The 21,405-nt window shown below is 43.7% G+C and overlaps 1 protein-coding gene and 1 non-coding gene across 12 annotated transcripts in view; one reads left to right on the top strand and one right to left on the bottom strand.

Moving 5' to 3' along the window:
* NAV2 (neuron navigator 2) overlaps nucleotides 1-21,405 on the bottom strand; it is a 776,366-nt gene that overhangs the window by 523,256 nt on the left and 231,705 nt on the right. The gene's annotated exons all lie outside the window — the stretch shown is intronic.
* On the top strand, nucleotides 7,055-7,190 carry LOC124900310 (small nucleolar RNA SNORA1). Its single transcript, XR_007063004.1, has one exon. It is a non-coding gene; the product is annotated as a small nucleolar RNA SNORA1 (small nucleolar RNA).

The raw sequence follows: 21,405 nt of genomic DNA, 5'->3' as shown, positions 1-21,405 counted from the left end.
CTGTGTACAGTTTCCTCGGCTCACGGATGGCTACTCGCTGTGGGTGCCACAAGTGCAGTGTGAGCTCTGAGGACCCCCTGGCACCCCCAGGTTCTCTTTGGCATGCTAGAAAGGTCTGTTGGACTGCAGATCAGAAGTGTGGCTGAGGCTGGGGCACTGCCCTTGCAGAAGAGACGGCACACTCCCTCCCCTCTCCCTGCTCCCAAAAGCCGCTCTTCCATCTGGCTGTGCCTGTCACTGTCAGGGGGCGGCGGCATCTGCCTCTGAGCTGGTCAGTGGCTGGGGCCTGGCCCCCCAGGGCAGCAGAAGGGCATGCCATTGGCATGGGTCATAACTGGAGGCCAGCTGCCCCGTGGTCTCTCTGTGCAGAGAATGCTATGTCCCAGACCCACCTGCCCTTGAGAGCAGGGCCCCATCCCTGTCCTTAGCTCAAGACAGGGGCCCAGGATTTTCTTTACAGAGGTGAGAAATGGCCACGGCCATTCCTCCACTCATCTCAGACAAACACACGCACCCCAGTGAAACTCGCAGTTCTGTGCAGACATTCCTCACGCATCCCCGATCCTCCCCACCTCCTTCAGCTAAAAATGCCCACTTGTTTAGACTTCCGCAGCTTGGGCATGAAGCTGGAATTAAAACAGAGACAAAGGTCCACTATCAGTAATTATTTCTGAAGTAACAAGCAACTAATTGGGACTTACTGTTATTAAAAACCTATACGGCAGGCAGTAATTAAACTGCAGCTAATGAGAATTTCTGCACCAGGCTCTGCAGCCACCACATGGCTATTCTCCTCATCCTGGGTGGAAGGGACTGTTGTTGGAGGAAATAAATGGCTTCTTCATAGCCCTCCAAGAGATATTAGTCATATTGGAGATTTCTGCCCCAGGGAAGTCAGTAGTAAGATGGGGCAGCGAGGCAAGACAAGGCATAAATATGAGAAGCCCAGGAACACATGGAGGTTTCTAGATTGGCTGCTATTATCCTCTGGATGGTGACATCATGCCTCTGGGAAATGGCTGTGGGATACTGTCAAGTCAGTAGGAAAACAGCTGAATCAACTCTTTCATAAATAGATTTATTGAGCACTTCTTATGTGTTAGGAGCTCTGGGAGATGCATTTATATACATTATTTCATTTACTCTTCCTAACAGCCTGAGGAAGGAAGTACCACTAGGCCCTGTTTTACAGATAAGGAAACTTGGCTCAGAGAGACAAAGTCACCTATGGAAACTCACCTGGTTGCTGAGCAGAGTGAAGCCAGAGTTGGATCCAGAAGGAAGGAAAAACTTGGAGTCACATTCTTGCATGCAATACAGCAAAGGGAGGCAGTTGGTGGAGTCAGGGGGGCCAGCTAGGTGTGGCCACCTTCTAGCCTCCTGGTGAGCTTGTTTAGCTACCAAAACATTCTGTGCCTCCGTTTCTGCATCTGCAGAGTGGGGATAGTTATACCTACCTACTGGGTTTGCCGTAAAGACGAACAGCCTGCAGATGAAGTGTTTAGCCCAGGGCTTGGTGCATGGTAAACACTCAATAAAGTCCAGTTGTTATTCTAGGTGCTCTACAGATGCTCTCGGAAGTAGTGCCATCATTTGCTGAAACTCATTGTCTGAGCATGGCAGAGGTTTTGTAATAATGAAAGCTGTGGAAGTCTCAGCAAACAGTGTCTGTCTGCCTGTGTCCCTTGGGAAGGGGGCAGACAAACCCAGCGAGCTGGTTCTGCTCTGAGGCCACTGCCCTGGTGTCCGGGGCAGTGGGAGGCTGGCCAAGCTCCCAGACAGCCTGTCTCGGGCCTGGAGCACAGAGCCGTTGCCTCACCAGCTTGTAATGAACTGCGTCTCCATCCTGATTAGGGGAACAATCCTCACACAGAGAGACTCAGGGGAAGGAAATGACAACGTTGTGGGGACAGGGTATAACCTCACCTCCCAAGGAGGAGCTGGCTTCTGGGGAGCCGGTGAATTGAAGGTCACAGCCCAAGATGGTGCCCATCCCCAGGGAGGAGGCTGAGCAGATTCCACTAGGGCAAGTCTAGGATTTAAGAAATGTGCTAGGTTCAGCCAGGCCTCTGTATGCAAGCCTAGAAGGTAGCAGCTCATAGGCTCTGGTTTGCCAGAAAGGGCACACAAGGAAACCAGCCTTCCCTGGGCACCTACCCCATATCATTCCCCATGCCAGCCTTATGACATCAACATTGTCCTATAAAATAGAATTTTAGAGCACTGTCTTTTCCAAAACCGTGGGTTGCAGCCCATTACTGGGTTATGAAAACAATTTAGTGGGTGACTAATACCATTTTTAAAATAACGTGATTAATAAAAAAAACAGAAAATTTCAGAGTGCACTGCACGTGGTACAGATGAGTATTGTTTTAGGAATCTTTTATTTATTTAGTGTAAGTGTGTTTGGGAGCGGAATTGTGATATAAAATACATTTTTTACTGAGAATTATGGTCAAAACTTCTCGAAAGAATGCAGGCTCTGGCCAGGCATGGTGGCTTATGCCTGTAATCCCAGCACTTTGGGAGACCAAGGCAGGGGGACTGCTTAAGTCCAGATGTTTGAGACCAGCCTGGGCAACATAGTGAGACCCCATCACTAAAAAAAAAATTTTTTTTTTTTAATTAGCCTTCATGGTGGTGTGTCTGTGGTCCCAGCTACTCGGGAGGCTCTGAGGTGGGAGAATCACTTGAGCTTGGGTGGTTGAGGCTACAGTGAGTCATGATCGTGCCATTGCACTCCAGCCTGGGCAACAGAGTGAGATCCTGTCTCAAAAAATAAAAATAAAAAAAGAATGCAGGCTCTGAAATCAGACTGACTGGAGAACCTTGATCAAGTTGTAAAACCCCTCTGTGTCTCAGTTTCCTCATCTATAAAATGGGGATAATAATAGAACATTTCATAGTGTTGTTGCATGAAGTAAATGAGTTAATATTATAAAGTGCTTAAAGTGGTGTAGCAGACACTGCTAGCATTCATCAATTTCCCCTCAGCCAATCTCAAAGCCCCATACAGATAGTTCAGTTCCTTGTATGTGCCAATGCCTTCCTGAGTCTTTCTCCTGAGGATGCTCCCTGGTCATGGTTACATGCTTAGCCCAAGGACAGGGCAGGTCAAAGGTGTGGTGGAATGAATGCCCCAGGAGTGACCCTCCACCAATAAGGACTGGAAGATGGTGGATAAACACAGCAGTGGAGATTCTGAGGTGTGTTTCTCAGTCTCTAAGAGGATGTCCAGTGGGACTGAGCCCCCATTGCCCACCAAAATGACTCCTCCCCATCTCACTTCCCTGTTCTCTCACATCGCTTCCTGGGATCCCCTCCCATATAAACTTGCACCTAAGTCCTTGTCTTGGTGTCTAATCTTAATTTTGATGAACTTAAGCAGATTCTGACACAAAGTAAGTGCTTGATAGATGTTAGTTATTACTAATCACGTTCATCTTGAGAGAGGATCTTTGCAAGTGCTTTATGTGCAATATCTCATTTAATCCTCACACCAAGTCCACAAAGTAGGAACTGTGATTGTCCCCATTTTTCAGATAAGAAAACTGAGGCTTAGCAAAGTTAAGCACGCTGCTCAGGTTTACATAGCTAGAAAGGAAAGAGTTCCACTCTGAACCCATGAGTGTTACCAATGCCCCTGTTCTCCACCTCTCCTCTCTATTTAATCTATACAATCACTCTGCCAGCCAGCTACTGTGGTCACTCCCATTTTACAGATATGGAGATGGAAAGCCCAGGGAAATTATTTGCACTCAATTCCTGCACTATTCACTACCATGTTGGGACCGACAACTCATATCCTGACTCGTTACTGTGCTTTCCATGACAGCAGCAGCAGCAGCAGCCTGCTTCTATGTGCCCTGGATACAGAAGACACAGGAGAAATCCCTTCTTTAAAAAAAAAAAAAAAAGTCCCCGAAGTAGAAACCAGCCAGCTACCATCAAACCTTGCAGCACAGGAGAAAGGTAGGATGCGGTTGAAAAGAGACACAATTTTCAAAGACTTAGTGAAACTTACAGAAACTTAATGACACAGACAGATAGAAATCTGTTCTAGTGCTTGAGCCTCAACTCCTCAACCTGGTAAATGGGCCGATGACCTGGTACGAAGTCCCTCTACTCATTGCTGGCCTTCACTTTCAGCTCCTCTTCCTTATCTCCAACAGCCCCACCATGCAACCAAGGTACCTAGAGCTACTGTACCTTTGGTCTGAGCTCCATCTGCATGAAATTCACTGTGATGTTTCCCTGGAAACCTGCTGTGTGCCACACAGAGTGCTAACCTCTCAGTGCCCTAACTTCCTCATCTATTAAATTGGGATAATCCTAGTATCTTCTTCATGAGTTGTCGTGAGGATTAACTGAGCTAATTGTGCAAATCCCATAGCTGGCAAAGGACCCATATCTAGCATATATAAAGAATACTCAAAACTCCACATTAAAAAACAAACAATCCAACCAGAAGATGGGTAAATGACATGTAGAGACAGTTTACTGAAAAGAATATACAGATGGCAAATAAGCAGTGAAAAAATGTTCAACATCACCAGCTATTAGGGAGATGGAAAGTCAGACCATGAAAGGTGTCACTACATACCTTTTAGAGCAGATAAAATTAAAATAGTGGCAACACCAAATTCCAGCAAAGATGTAGAGACACTGAATCACTCACACATTGCTGGTGGGAATGTAAAATGGTACAGCCACTCTCGGAAAGAGTTTGACTTCCTTCCTAAAACACTAAACATATACTAACCATGTAACTCAACAATGGCACCCCCAAGCATTTATCCCTGTGAGATGAAGACTTATATTTGAAATAAAAATCTATACACAAATATTTATAGCTGCTTTATACGTCAAAGCCAAAAACTGGAAACAACCCAGATACTTTTCCTGGTTAAACCATGGTCTGTCAGTCAGTCATGTATCAGTGGTATATCGGTGTGTATCAGTGGTATATTGGTGGCATATCCATGGAACAGAACTCACCAGGAACAGAGGAATGAACTATAGACAGACAACCTGAATGGATCTCAAAGACATTATGCTGAGTGGGAAAAAAACAAAAGCCAAGCTTAAAAGGTCACATACTTTGCCATTCTACTTAGATAACATTGTTGAAATGACAACATTTTGCAGATAGAAAACATACTAATGGTTGGTTGCCAGGGGCTGGGGGTGGCGGAAGGGAGAGGGGTGGGTATGACTCTGAAGGGGCTGCACAAGGGAGATCTTTGTGGACAGGGGAGAGTTCTGTATCTTGATTGCGGTGGTGATTGTGTAAGATTCTCACAATTTTACACAAGTGAGAAAAGGACACAGAACAATACTCACACAGTCAATTGCCTGGTTCTGAAACTGTACTATAATTACATAATGTGTAAACATTGGAGAAAACCAGGTGAAAGGGACCTCTCAGTTCTATCTTTACATGGGATCTCTCAGTACCATCTTTGCAACTTCCTGCAAATCTATCATTATTTCAACATTTTTAAAAATGTTTTAAATGAACTACTTGTAAAAAGCTTAGAGCAGTGCCTAAATGAGCACTTAGTCAATATCAGCTCTCATTACTATTATTTTATTTTCATTGTTACTTCATACAAGTCATCTTAGTTAATGCTAACAATAAACTTGTTATCACAAGTTTTTAAAAATCCCTATTTTACAGGTGGGAATAGGGAAACTCAGACATATTAGATAACTTGTCTAAGTTTGCTTACCCAGAGAGACCTAGGAATTAAAAAGCCCAAGTTCATGGACTTCCCCCAAACATTCAACTATGAAGACCAGTAAGATAAAAATCTTTGCCCACATCAAGCTTTATAACATAGTGGGGGCAATGACAAAAATATAATTCAAATTCAAGTGGAATGTCACATACTGATCTATGGGAGGACAGGAAATGGAGGAATAAAAAATTCTGAGGTGATCTAGGAAGGCTTCCTAGAAGAGGTGGCATTTGGAATTGTTTTGAGGATTGAGTAGATTAGTAGGTGTGGAAAGAAGGCAGTGATGCAGGAAAGGGTATTCCAGGCAGAGAGAACCTGATCATTAAGCGGTGGGAGTGCTTAAACAACAGTAACAAGCCCAAGGTGGCTGAAGCAGCTGGTATGTGACCAGAGGAAGATGCAGATGAAGGACAAGCAGAGGATAGTCAATGAAGATAGGCGCTGAATGAGCAACAAATCAATATTGAATCAATCAAAGGGATGAATATGGGTGCCTCTATGTGGCCTGCTTCAAGCTAGATTCAATGATGATCCAAACGTACGTGGATGCTGGCCATGCAGATGTTATTCTGGGAGGGAAGATCAATAAGTGTGATAGGGGTCAGGACTTAACTGTAGATGGGGCTTGTCTCCTTAGCTTTTGCTCATTGTGGCCTCCATAGCCTGCCTTGGAAGCTGAATGGCCAATGTCTAAAGTGCATGTGCAATTATGACAGCGTCCACAACAAGCAGCCAGCCATCTGTATATGCTGAAAAGCCAGGCAGAACTCTGCTGTGGGTCTTGGGGTCCCAGGAAGCAAAGAGATCTTCCATTTCAGGACCTCAAGATAAAGTTTCTCAAGGTCCTCCCAAGGCTAAGCCCTAGCAGATACTGAAGGCAAACCCCTACTTTTTGTGGGTTATAGGGTCCCACAATGGTTGTTCTGGACCGTGGAATTTTATCTTTCAAGTCCTGATCCCTATCACACTTACACTAATTGATCTTTCCCCCTAGACAATAACATCCGCATGGTCAGGATCTACATCTGTTTGGGACATCACTGAATCCAGCTTGAAGCAGTTCACATAGAGGTGCCCATATTCAGATCCCTTTGATAGATCCAATATTGATTTGTTGGTCATCTGCTATTCTCAGGTTAGAGGTGAGGAAATAAGACTGTTCCTAAGTAGAGAAGAGACAACCATGGCACACTGCACAAAGGGCAATGACAGTGCCTGACCATCTAGACAAAAAAGAATGAGAAACTATCCTGGACCGTGACAAATGAAGGCAGTCACATATGCATAGCTTATCCTAAGAACTGTGAAGGTGATGCCCCATTCTCAAAGAGAATAGGCACTGTTGATCATGCGATCCAGAGATTGTTAATGGGGCTGCATTGAGAAACAAGCTATGTTTCCATTCACAGCAAACACATCGCAGTGGTGACAATGAGACCTGTAACATTTCTGCTAAGGTCACGAGTGAAAATGGGATGCAACACAACCTCAACATTAGAAAAATATTAAAGAATAATGCATTTTTGCTCATTAGCCAAAATAACAATATGCTTTCTACAATTCAACTGCTAGGGCCCTAAAGTGAATTATTTGAAGAATTAGACCCTAAAGATTCTGTATAGGAAGTTTTTAAAGTATTTCATCAGTATGTCTGTATTGAAGTGGAGACAAAAGAAGCCCAACTAAGATGGACAGAAGGACTGTGGATTCAGCATGAATCTCTAGAAAGGCCTATCTTGAAGATAAATCTTGACTCAAGATTTGGAGGAACTAAGATGACCCTGATGGGCAGTGGAACGAATGACAACATGTAAAATTCCTTAAATAAAAATGTATTGACTTAAAGAAAAAACCATAATGGTGGTATTTGGTTGTTTGTGAGCTTTTGCAGTCAGGATTGTTGCTCAAATACCTTCCTCACTTCTCCATATCTGCCCTGGTTTGCCTTTACCACACTGTCCCCCAGGGCCTGGCTCAGTTGATGCTTTTGGAAAATGGATTTTGAGCTGTAAAAGACAGCTTTTCCAGATATAAACTCAAGCTTCTGAAGCAAGAATTGGATTAAAAGGAGCAACCGAAAAGGACCTCAGAGATCCTCTGGGACAATTGCTTTTAATCTGGGTTTCCTGGAGCTTAAAGGTTCTGCAGAGGTGCCTGGGGTGCGGGGAGCTGGGAGGCAGTCCTGGGTAAGGGGGATGCTAAAGTGGCAAGGCTCAGGGTCTCCACCTTCCAGCCAGAAGAGCTCAATGTGACCTTTTTCACCCACTGAAGTTCCAAATCTGTTAGGAGAAAGATTCCAAGGTTTAAGGTTTAAAACCCCCTAAGCTAGTCCAACACCATCATCGTATCATAATTTTAAAAATAGCTGATTTTGAGTGTTTAGTGTGTGCCAGGAACCGTTATAAATGCTTTACATGCATTACCTCATCTAATCCTCGCAGCAGCTCTAAAAGCTAGGTACTATTATTATCTCAGTTTTACAGAGGAGAAAACGTCGGCACAGTGGTTAAGTAATTTGACCAATGCTCGCAGATCACAAGCGAGGAAGCCTAGCCTGGGACCCACACAGCTGGTTCCTGAGCCTACACAATTCACCACTACACAAGACTGAGGAAGTTGAGGCACAGAGAGAGGCAGGAACTTGCCCCAGGCCCCACGGTGAGCTCAGGGCTGAGCCTAGGCTGGAATCCCGCCTCCTGTGCCCTCTTGGATGCTTCTTCCTCCTGACATTCCCCTTCCCTCTCTCCTTCTCTACCCTACAGTGTGCCTTCTGGAACCAACTTACAGGTGGCTTTAAATAGACCATCCCTTGGTTACCAAGCATCTGTGCTCCCACGCTGGGAGCAGCTGAAGGAGATGGAGCTGTGATGGCTGATCGGCTTCTAGGCCCCCATTCTGAAAGGGGCTGTGGCTCTCTCTTGGCTGGAGCCTCACTTCCCACCTGCTGCTCTAGATACATAGAGGCCCTTCACCATTTGCATGCTGTCTATCCAGGCTCACCTACACATGCTCTTGCTATTGTGGATATGGATATGCCCTGTTCCTTTGACCATGCCATTCCCACTGCTGGGAATCCCTTTCCCGCTTTGTCAGCCTGGCGTACTCCTCCTCAAATGTCCTTTTTCCAGGGCCCTGACCTTCCTGACCTCCCTTCCAAGGCAGAATCAACCACACCTTCCCCAGCACTCTCCACATCACAGCACAGATCACTCCGAATTGTAACCACTGATTGAATTTATTTCCTTGATTAAAAATCATGCAGGTGGTCCCATTTTTCCTTTGGTAAAGTCAGGATAGCTCCTACAATCTGCCTCTGGTTAAGCTGGGAGGTTTTTTTTGTTTGTTCGTTTGATTGGTTGGTTGGTTTTTTGTTTGTTTTTTTGTCTTCCTGAAATTCTGTCATTAAATTGATAAACTGTTTTGTAACCATATCATCTTAGGATCCAAGAAATACAGGACTTCTCTGTCTCCCTCTAGACTGTGAGCTCACCTGGGTTGAGGGCCGTGATTCAATGTCTCTGGACACCCAGGAACCAGCACAGAGGAGGCACAGAGGAAGGACCAGGTATGGTGAGTCATGGTGCTCAGGGGCTGGACGGTGCCCTCTGTGCCCAGATCTCCATGGGAGGCATCCCAGAGGCCTAGGAGAACCCCAGCCATCTACCAATTGCCCATTGAGTTCATGAAACTACCTTATGATATGCAGAAAGAAACATGGGCAAGGACAGCAGGCTTCTTTTTCCCCCTCTAACCTGGCACAAATGAGGCTGACCAAGCCCAGCAAGATTCCAAACCACATCACACCCCATGCTCTGACTCCTTTCTTTTTTCTTAGAGATAGCTACCATTGTTGGCTTGTTCCTAGCAGTTAGCTCTCTTAAATTCTTTATTTCTAAGAGAATTTTCCAGCAGGTCTTCCACCATTTTCTATCCTTTTTCATTCTGCCTCCAGTGATCTTCTAGGCCCTCCAACCTATGTCTCCAATGGTAGTTGTGTACCACTTCTTCTGTTTGAACCTCAGCCCTATAAATATGAGGATCTTAGACTTGATAGGGTCTAGCAGGTTACACAGGACTTTGTTTATCATCTTCCTTTTCTCTGCCTATGGCAGACATTACTAATCAATCACAGCATGCTTGCCGTCAGAATTCATCTTCAGGAAGCCACTGTCAAGTGGGTTGGCTCACAAGCTGGGTCATTTTTGCAGCTATGGGCCTAGATGCCCTCTAAGGGAAACTCTAATCAGAGATCCTTGGGTAAAATATCCATACACCAGATTGTTTTGGATACTCCCAAATTTATATAATTTTAAATTTCTCTGTAATGAAATCAATTTGTAAAATGGATGAGTAACTAATTCAGGATTTTGTGGGAGCAGGAGGAGGAACATTTGACTAACCAGTGGACTCTGGGGTCAACAGATGTACCTTTGAACTGGCCCGAAATAGTTGACCAGGAATTTGGCTTTTCTGTCAGGTGACCCAAGTCAGGGAAGAAAGGAATAGAACTAGTAGGATAATCATTCATTCATTTCTTTCACAAACATTTACTGAGCACCTATTACATGCTAGACACTGATCTAAGGGCAAGAGATTTGCAGACAAAGATGGTGACAGCCCTCATGGTTGACCAGGTACTAGACCCAATGGCACTCTATTTGCATATCACATTTAATTTTTTATGGCCTCAAGGCTGGATTCCTGAATCATTGGGTGGAGAAGAGCTATCCACTGGCTAGAAATGTTAGCCTTGGACTAAAATGTGGATGAGAACTAAATTTCTATTGTGTTGGTGCCTTTATACATTGTGGTACCTTCTTGTTATAGAAGCTTGTGTTATCCTAATTAACATATTTTCTGTGTGCAGTCAGTCTCATTGTGACTTTGGTCTGGAAATGTCTTTGTAGCTCCATTGCTTACTTTCAGAAGAGCTCTTGGGATTGGGTACCCAAAGAAAATGTTCATCAGCCATGAATTAACCCTTGAAGTCAGATGCTTTCAACCCAGACCATAAGAGTTTTCTATGAGGACCAAAAAGCCCTGATAAAATGAACTCTCAATCTTTTAGAGAAAAATGTGGAGCTGGGAGCCAAGGTGGCTGAATAGGAACAGCTCCAGTCTACAGTTCCTAGCATGAGCGACGCAGAAGATGGGTGATTTCTGCGTTTCCAACTGAAGTACCAGGTTCATCTCACTGAGGAGTGTCAGACACTGGGTACAGGACAGTGGGGCAGCTCACTGAGCGTGAGCTGAAGCAGGGCAAGGCATCGCCTCACCCGGGATGTGCAAGGGGTCAGGGAATTCCCTTTCCTAGTCAAAGAAAGGGGTGACAGGCAGCACCTGGAAAACTGGGTCACTCCCACCCTAATACTGTGCTTTTCCAATGGTCTTAGCAAACGGCACACCAAGAAATTATATCCTGCACCTGGCTCGGAGGGTCCTATGCCCACAGAGCCTTGCTCATTGCTAGCACAGCAATCTGAGATCAAACTGCAAGGCGGCAGCAAGGCTGGGGGAGGGGTGTCCACCATTGCTGAGGCTTGAGTAGGTAAACAAAGCGGCCGTGAAGCTCGAACTGGGTGGAGCCCACCTCAGCTCAAGGAGGCCTGCCTGCCTCTGTAGACTCCACCTCTGGGGGCAGGGCATAGCCAAACAAAAGGCAGCAGAAACCTCTGCAGACTTAAATGTCCCCGACTGACAGCTTTGAAGAGAGTAGTGGTTCCCACAGCACGCAGCTGGAGATCTGAGAACAGACAGACTGCCTCCTCAAGTGGGTCCCTGACCCCCAAGTAGCCTAACTGGGAGGCACCCCCCAGTAGGGGCAGACTGACCCTTACACGGCTGCGTACTCCTCTGAGACAAAACTTCCAGAGGAACGATCAGGCAGCAACATTTGCTGTTCTGCAATATTCGCTGTTCTGCAGCCTCTGCTGCTGATACCCAGGCAAACAGGGTCTGGAGTGGACCTCCAGCAAACTCCAACAGACCTGCAGCTGAGGGTCCTGACTGTTAGAAGGAAAACTAACAAACAGAAAGGACATCCACAACAAAACCCCATATGTACGTCACCATCATCAAAGACCAAAGGTAGATAAAACCACAAAGATGGGGAAAAAACAGAGCAGAAAAACTGGAAACTCTAAAAATCAGAGCACCTCTCCTCCTACAAAGGAACGCAGCTCCTCACCAGCAACGGAACAAAGCTGGACGGAGAATGACTTTGATGAGTTGAGAAAAGAAGGCTTCAGACGATCAAACTACTCTGAGCTAAAGGAGGAAGTTCGAACCCATGGCAAAGAAGTTAAAAACCTTGAAAAAAAATTAGAAAAATGGCTAACTAGAATAACCAATGCAGAAAAGTCCTTAAAGGACCTCATGGAGCTGAAAACCATGGCACAAGAACTATGCGACGAATGCACAAGCCGCAGTAGCTGATTCAATCAACTGGAAGAAAGGGTATCAGTGATGGAAGATAAATGAATGAAATGAAGTGAGAAGAGAAGTTTAGAGAAAAAAGAATAAGAAGAAACGAATAAAGCCTCCAACAAATATGGGACTATGTGAAAACACCAAATCTACATCTGATTGGTGTACCTGAAACTGACGGAGAGAATGGAACAAAGTTGGAAAACACTCTGCAGGATATTATCCAGGAGAACTTCCCCAATCTAGCAAGGCAGGCCAATATTCAAATTCAGGAAATACAGAGAATGCCACAAACATACTCCTCGAGAAGAACAACCCCAAGACACATAATTGTCAGGTTCACCAAAGTTGAAATGAAAGAAAAAATGTTACGGGCAGCCAGAGAGAAAGGTTGGGTTACCCACAAAGGGAAGCCCATCAGACTAACAGCGGATCTCTTAGTAGAAACTCTACAAGCAAGAAGAAAGTGGGGGCCAATTATTCAACATTCTTAAAGAAAAGAATTTTCAACCCAGAATTTCATATCCAACCAAACTAAGCTTCATAAGTGAAGGAGAAATAAAATCCTTTACAGACAAGCAAATGTTGAGAGATTTTGTCACCACCAGGCCTGCCCTAAAAGAGCTCCTGAAGGAAGCACTAAACATGGAAAGGAACAACCGGTACCAGCCACTGCAAAAACACGCCAAATTGTAAAGACCATCAAGGCTAGGAAGAAACTGCATCCACTAAGGAGCAAAATAACCAGCTAATATCATAATGACAGGATCAAATTCACACACAACAATATTAACTTAAATGTAAATGGGCTAAATGCTCCAATTAAAAGACAGAGACTGGCAAATTGGATAAAGAGTCAAGACCCATCAGTGTGCTGTATTCAGGAAACCCATCTCACGGGTAGAGACACACATAGGCTCAAAACAAAGGGATGGAGGAAGATCTACCAAGCAAATGGAAAAGAAAAAAAGGCAGGGGTTGCAATCCTAGTCTCTGATAAAACAGACTTTAAACCAACAAAGATCAAAAGAGACAAAGAAGGCCATTACATAATGGTAAAGGGATCAATTCAACAAGAAGAGCTAACTATCCTAAATATATACGCACCCAATATAGGAGCACCCAGATTCATGAAGCAAGTCCTTAGAGACCTACAAAGAGACTTAGACTCCCACACAATAATAATGGGAGACTTTAACACCCCACTGTCAACATTAGACAGATCGATGAGACAGAAAGTTAAAAAGGATATCCAGGAATTGAACTCAGCTCTGCACCAAGCGGACCCAATAGACATCTACAGAACTCTCCACCCCAAATCAACAGAATATACATTCTTTTCAGCACCACATCACACCTATTCCAAAATTGACCACATAGTTGGAAGTAAAGCACTCCTCAGCAAATGTAAAAGAACAGAAATTATAACAAACTGTCTCTCAGACCACAGTGCAATCAAACTAGAACTCAAGATTAAGAAAATCACTCAAAACTGCTCAACTACATGGAAACTGAACAACCTGCTCCTGAACGACTACTGGGTACATAACGAAATGAAGGCAGAAATAAAGATGTTCTTTGAAACCAATGAGAACAAAGACACAACATACCAGAATCTCTGGGACACATTCAAAGCAGCATGTAGAGGGAAATTTATAGCACTAAATGCCCACAAGAGAAAACAGGAAAGATCTAAAATTGACAACCTAACATCAAAATGAAAAGAACTAGAGAAGCAAGAGCAAACACATTCAAAAGCTAGCAGAAGGCAAGAAATAACTAAAATCAAAGCAGAACTGAAGGAAATAGAGACACAAAAGACCCTTCAAAAAATCAATGAATCCAGGAGCTGGTTTTTTGCAAAGATCAATAAAATCGATAGACCGCTAGCAAGACTAATAAAGAAGAAAAGAGAGAAGAATCGAATAGACCCAATAAAAAATGATAAAGGGAATATCACCACCGATCCCACAGAAATACAAAAAACCATCAGAGAATATTATGAACACCTCTATGCAAATAAACTAGAAAATCTGGAAGAAATGGATAAATTCCTCAATACATACACTCTCCTAAGACTAAACCAGGAAGAAGTTGAATCTCTGAATAGACCAATAACAGGCTCTGAAATTGAGGCAATAATTACTAGCTTACCAACCAAAAAAAAGTCCAGGACCAGACGGATTCACAGCCGAATTCTACCAGAGGTACAAGGAGGAGCTGGTACCATTTCTTTTGAAACTATTCCAATCAACAGAAAAAGAGGGAATCCTCCCTAACTCATTTTGTGAGGCCAGCATCATCCTGATACCAAAGCCTGGCAGAGACACAACAAAAAAAGAGAATTTTAGACCAATATCCCTGATGAACATTGATGCAAAAATCCTCAGTAAAATACTGGCAAACCGAATCCAGCAGCACATCAAAAAGTTATCCACCACGATCAAGTGGGCTTCATCCCTGGGATGCAAGGCTGGTTCCACATACGCAAATCAATAAACGTAATCCAGCATATAAACAGAACCAACGACAAAAACCACATGATTATCTCAATAGATGCAGAAAAGGCCTTCAACAAAATTCAACAACTCTTCATGCTAAAAACTCTCAATAAATTAGGTATTGATGGGACATGTCTCAAAATAATAAGAGCTATCTATGACAAACCCACAGCCAATATCACACTGAATGGGCAAAAACTGGAAGCATTCCCTTTGAAAACTGGCACAAGACAGGGATGCCCTCTCTCACCACTCCTATTCAACATAGTGTTGGAAGTTCTGGCCAGGGCAATCAGGCAGGAGAAGGAAATAAAGGGTATTCAATTAGGAAAAGAGGAAGTCATATTGTCCCTGTTTGAAGATGACATGATTGTATATCTAGAAAACCCCATCGTCTCAGCCCAAAATCTCCTTAAGCTGATAAGCAACTTCAGCAAAGTCTCAGGATACAAAATCAATGTGCAAAAATCACAAGCATTCTTATACACCAATAACAGAGAAACAGAGAGCAAAATCATGAGTGAACTCCTATTCACAATTGCTTCAAAGAGAACAAAATACCTAGGAATCTAACTTACAAGGGATGTGAAGGACCTCTTCAAGGAGAACTACAAACCACTGCTCAATGAAATAAAAGAGGATACACACAAATGGAAGAACATTTCATGCTCATGGTTAGGAAGAATCAATATCGTGAAAATGGCCATACTGCCTAAGGTAATTTATAGATTCAATGCCATCTCCATCAAGCTATCAATGACTTTCTTCACAGAATTGGAAAAAACTACTTTAAAGTTCATATGGAACCAAAAAAGAGCCCGCATTGCCAAGTCAATCCTAAGTCAATCCTAAGCCAAAAGAACAAAGCTGGAGACATCACACTACCTGACTTCAAACTATACTACAAGGCTACAGTAACCAAAACAGCATGGTACTGGTACCAAAACAGAGATATAGACCAATGGAACAGAACAGAGCCCTCAGAAATAATGCCACATATCTACAACTATCTGATCTTTGACAAACCTGAAAAAAACTAGAAATGGCAAAAGGATTCCCTATTTAATAAATGGTGCTGGGAAAACTGGCTAGCCATATGCAGAAAGCTGAAACTGGATCCCTTCCTTACACCTTATACAAAAATTAATTCAAGATGGATTAAAGACTTAAATGTTAGGCCTAAAACCATAAAAACCCTAGAAGAAAACCTAGGCAATACCATTCAGGACATAAGCATGGGCAAGGACTTCATGTCTAAAACACCAAAAGCAATGGCAACAAAAGACAAAATTGACAAATGGGATCTAATTAAACTAAAGAGCTTCTGCACAGCAAAAGAAACTACCATCAGAGTGAACAGGCAACCTACAGAATGGGAGAAAATTGTTGCGATCTACTCATCTGACCAAGGGCTAATATCCAGAATCTACAATGAACTCCAACAGATTTACAAGAAAAAAACAAACAACCCCATCAACAAGTGGGCGAAGGATATGAACAGACACTTCTCAAAAGAAGACATTTATGCAGCCAAAAAACACATGAAAAAATGCTCATCATAACTGGCCATCAGAGAAATGCAAATCAAAACCACAATGAGATACCATCTCATACCAGTTAGAATGGCAATCATTAAAAAGTCAGGAAACAACAGGAGCTGGAGAGGATGTGGAGAAATAGGAACAATTTTACACTGTTGGTGGGACTGTAAACTAGTTCAACCATTGTGGAAGTCAGTGTGGCAATTCCTCATGGATCTAGAACTAGAAATACCATTTGACCCAGCCATCCCATTACTGGGTATATACCCAAAGGATTATAAAACATGCTGCTATAAAGACACATGCACACCATGTTTATTGCAGCACTATTCACAATAGCAAAGACTTGGAACCAACCCAAATGTCCAACGATGATAGACTGGATTAAGAAAATGTGGCACATATACACCATGGAATACTATGCAGCCATAAAAAAGGATGAGTTCATGTCCTTTGTAGGGACATGGATGAAGCTGGAAACCATCATTCTCAGCAAACTATCACAAGGACAAAAAACCAAATACCGCATGTTCTCACTCATAGGTGGGAATTGAACAATGAGACACATGGACACAGGAAGGGGAACATCACACACTGGGGCCTGTTGTGGGGTGGGGGAGAGGGGAGGGATAGCATTAGATGTACCTAATGTTAAATGACGAGTTAACGGGTGCAGCACACCAACATGGCACATGTATACATATGTAACAAACCTGCACGTTGTGCTCATGTACCCTAAAACTTAAAGTATAATAATAAAAAAAACCTTAAATTTAAACTTTCAAAAGAAATTAAAGGAGATTCAGAGAAATTTGTTAAACAAGATACAAAGAGTGCTAATCGTTAAAGAGGAGATTGATAAGTCAACGCCATTAAAACCAAGAACTTATGCTAAGAATACTTTAAAGAAAGTAAAAAAACCAAGTCACATGCAGGAAGAAGATACTTGCAATTATATAACAACCTACAGATTAGTATACAAAATATAAGGAACTCCTACAAATCGACAAGATAAAGCAAACAATTCAATGGGAAACTGGGTAAAAGACATGAACAGACATCTCACAGAAAAGGAGACACATGTGGCCAATTAATATAAGAAGAGATTATCCACCTTGTTAGTAATCAGAGAAATACACATCCAGCCAAAATGCTATTTTGTATTCATCAGCTTAGGAAAAATAAGAACCAAATGTAGGATAGGATGAGTATCCTATAAGTAGGCTTACACATTCTTGTGGGAGGATAAATTATTACAGTCACTTTGAAAAATAATTTTGCATTGCTGGTAAAGTTGAACATTCACATACCTTCTACTCAGCAGTTTTACTCCTAAGTGTGTTCCCAAGAGAAAATCTTGTTCACATGCCCATGAAGACAATGTTCAAGAAGGTCTATGCGGTACTCCCCATAATAGCAAAAAAGTGGAAACAGCTGAAATGCTGACTGACAAGAAAATAAATCAAATTGCCTAAGATAGTGCCTGGTACACAATAAACACTCAATAAATGGTAGCTGCTATGGTTTGAATATTCATTCCCTGCAAAACTCATGTTGAAATTTAACCCCCAATGTGGCAGTATTGAGAGATTCATGGATTAATGGGTTATCATGGGAGTGGGACTGGTGCTTTGCAAGAAGAGGAAGAGAGACCTGAGCAAGCACACTCAGGCCCTCCCCATGTAATGCCTTGAGCTACCTTTGGACTTTTCATAGAGTCCAAATGGGGCCCCTTGATCTTGGACTTCTCAGCCCCCATAACTGTAAAATATAAATGTCTTCTTCATAAATTAAAAAAAAAAGAAAGAAAAATGTGATACTTCCCAGAGAAATTCCCAAGCACCATGTTCTTTTCCTGGGAAATCAATCTGGCTACAGGACAATCTTTTAGGCAGCCAGAAGCCCTTCATCTGGGTTTCGGTGACAACTGGCTGTGGCTCTCCGAGGGTACAGGCACAGTAACAGCCACCTGGCAAAGAGAAATTAGCGAGCCCTGGAAGCCCCACCCCCCGGTTGGGTCAACAGCACCAGTCAGAGTGCCACAGAAATAAATATATCCCATTCATAGAGCTTTCCGTTTAACAGCTTTCAAAGTCATAAAGTCTGCATAAGGCCAAAAGATACAATTGTCCAATTGGAGGTTTTATCTAGGAAAACACATATTTTCAAAGACTGTTTGGTCCCCATGCCAGGATCATAGCTGGGCTGGTTTAACGTGCTGGGCCTCTGGGTTTTATAGTACTTTCCACTTAAGTGAGACAGGACAGAGGCCTTCTCAGAGCCTCTTGTCTCCAAGGTGGTGTCCAAGAGGGGCCTAGAGATGCTCAAAGCCAATCATTCCCATGAGAATTCCAGAAAAGCTAGAATCTACCTAGACCAGGTCATGTAGGAGGGGAATAACAACTAACATTTATTGGGTGCTTACTATGTACACTTACTGAATTCCAGGTTCTGCTCTAAATACCTAACACATATCATTGCATTTACTCTTTCTTATTGCCTTACAACGAAGTGTCTATTTCCTTCCTATCTTCCAGAGGAGGAAAGCAAGGCTTGGAAAGGTAAATCAACATATTCAAGATGATCTGATTCAGTGAGTAGTAGGGTCAAGATTTGAACTTAGGTCTAGTGATTCTAAAACACTTCAACCTCTATAATCAGCTGCCACCCATGACTGTCAGGGCCCTTTCTCCGTCTCTGTCCAGCTGCTTGAGCTGTGTTATGAAGGGCAGATAGACGAAGACCAAGGAAGGGCTTGTCACTAGCAGTGGGAACCAATGAAGGGAACCAGGCCTGGGAGAGAATCCTTAATATTTGCCAGGAACCATGTTAAGCATTTACTTAAATTATCATGCTGAATTCTCATAATAGTCCTGCAAAATAAGTCTTATTATATCCATTTGACAATTGAGACAGCTGAGGCTTAGAGAGGTTAAAAACTTTCCCAAGGCCACACGGCTCAGAAGTGGTGGACAGTCTGCCTGAATAGACTCCTTGCTCAGAAACATTAAGTCAGGCACTGAGCTTACCCACCTACGTACACATCATATGGCTTTTATTCTTGGGAGAGATTTCTTTTTTTGTCAAATTCTGGCTCTACTTGTACACATTGCACTGATCACTTCCCTGATAGTCCTGGATGTTGAAACTTACACACACACACATTTACATCTAGGCCACTTACTAGCTGAGTAATCTTGGGTGTGTGAACATGTCCCTAAACCTCTCAGAGGGGTTTCTGCTCTCCTGGGACTCACCACTTAGACCAAAGGTAGCAAACCTTTCCTGTCGAGAGCCAGAGGGTAGATATTTTAGGCTTTAGGGTCATCCGCTCTGCATGACAACTGCTCAACCCTGCCCTGTAGTGCAAAAAACAACCATAGATAATGTATAATCAATGCTATGGCCAGATTTGGCACACAAGCCAAAATATGCAGACCCCTGACCTAGATGGTCAACATATTGCACAAATAAGTGTTAAATTCCCATTTTGTAAGTACTACAAATGGGAGGTATTAGTGTACTCAGAGTGTATACTAGGAGGAACTGACCTCCAGGGCATGGTGGCTGGACAATGTCACAATGTCACCACAGAGCAGGGCCAGAACTGGAGTCCAGGCATCCCATTCTCCCACTGGGACTCACCCCCTGCATGTGTGGCCTCCTTGGTCACCAGTGAATCTCCCAAGTCGATGTCCCTTCTAGAGGCTCAATGACATCAGGCTGCACTCAGAGAGCAGCCCAGGACATCTGCAACTGCCTGGCTTAACCTCTGACTGTGGCCAAGAGCCTTCTACTAGCAAATCACTGGCTCATTTCTCTCCAGCAGGGCCTGGCTCACAGCACCTTCTGGAAAGCCATTACAGCAGCTACAGCAGCACGCGCAGCGTTAATTTATGAAAATCTCAGCTTGTAAAAGCCCAGCTCGCAGGCAGAGCCGGAGGAGGCAGAGGCACTCTGCACTGGAGATGCATGAACTGCTATTTGCTTCTCTTACAGCCACAAAAGGAAATGCTGGCGAGGGCTTCAGAGAAGGGGTGGTGGGGAGGGGACGCTGCTGGATTTAATAGGAGGAATACGAGTCATTTGTCTTATTGTAAAATAGATGTGTGTTTGGAAGCAGAAAATGCTCTGGATCCTTTCTTTCCTCCCCTTGCAGGCATGAAAAGCCTTGAGCAAAACAAAATGCTGCTGATTTTGAGTCTATTTTGGGCGCCTGTCGCTGATTGTCTGCTTCCGAGGCCTGTGCACATGCTGCCTTCTCAAAGAATGGTTTTAACAAATTGAAATGGAATGAATGAGCATCTTGCTCCTGCTGCTGCTGCCACCATTGGAACAGAAAGCAGCCCCCAATAGTGGGGCCTGGTCCATGGCTCCTCAATTCTTCCCTCTCACCCCAGATGCCCACCCAACCCACACCCCCATCCACACAGTGCTTGCTGGCTCCCGAGTTAGGCTGCTCACCCCATGCCAGGAAGCTATTTACCAAAGGAAATAACTGTGATAAAAGGGCTAAAAATAGGCAGCAGTGATGGAAAACATTTTGTTGAGAGATCTGCTGACAAGAGGGGAAACAGAGCTGTGAAAAAGATAGGTGGTGAAGGACACAGAGGGAGAAGTGGCTACACTGAGCATCTAGGGGGCCCAGGAGGAGCCGGGGTCAGGGCCCAGAGGCCAGGTGGCTCACACAGATGGCTGCGCCCTCGTGGCAGATCTTCCCTGTCAGCGGCCCTACCCTTGTGGTATTTCACCCAGCCTTAGAAAAGTGAAGGGGCACGAGCCAACAGGTTCCTTCGCCAGGTGGGTATCTGAGGACAGGTATCTGAAAAGCAGCCCCATGAAGGAAGCAAATAGAACGCTGATGGAGGCTGACCACACATTTGGCTTTCGCCAGTTAGCAACACACGGACGTTGGACAAGCTGCTTAACTTCTCTGAGCCTCAGTTTCCTCATGTGATAAATAAAGATATGCTTAGACCCACGTCATAGGGCTGTGGTGATAATCCATGCACACTATTTACCAAACAGTGGCATTATTCCGGTCATTCAGGCTTTTACAAACATGGATTGAGGGCTTTCATTGTGCAAGGCACTTCCTGGAACCCAGGGATTCCTTGAAGTAAAAGACAAATTCCTGCTGTAAGATACTTTAATTCCTTAGTGAACAAGGAATTAGAGTAGAGAAGGGGGAGCTGT

Source organism: Homo sapiens, chromosome 11 (genome assembly GCF_000001405.40).
Source record: "Homo sapiens chromosome 11, GRCh38.p14 Primary Assembly".
Lineage (NCBI taxonomy): Eukaryota > Metazoa > Chordata > Mammalia > Primates > Hominidae > Homo > Homo sapiens.
The sequence above is the reverse complement of the archived record's forward strand: the minus strand, read 5'-3'. Positions and strand labels throughout refer to the sequence as shown.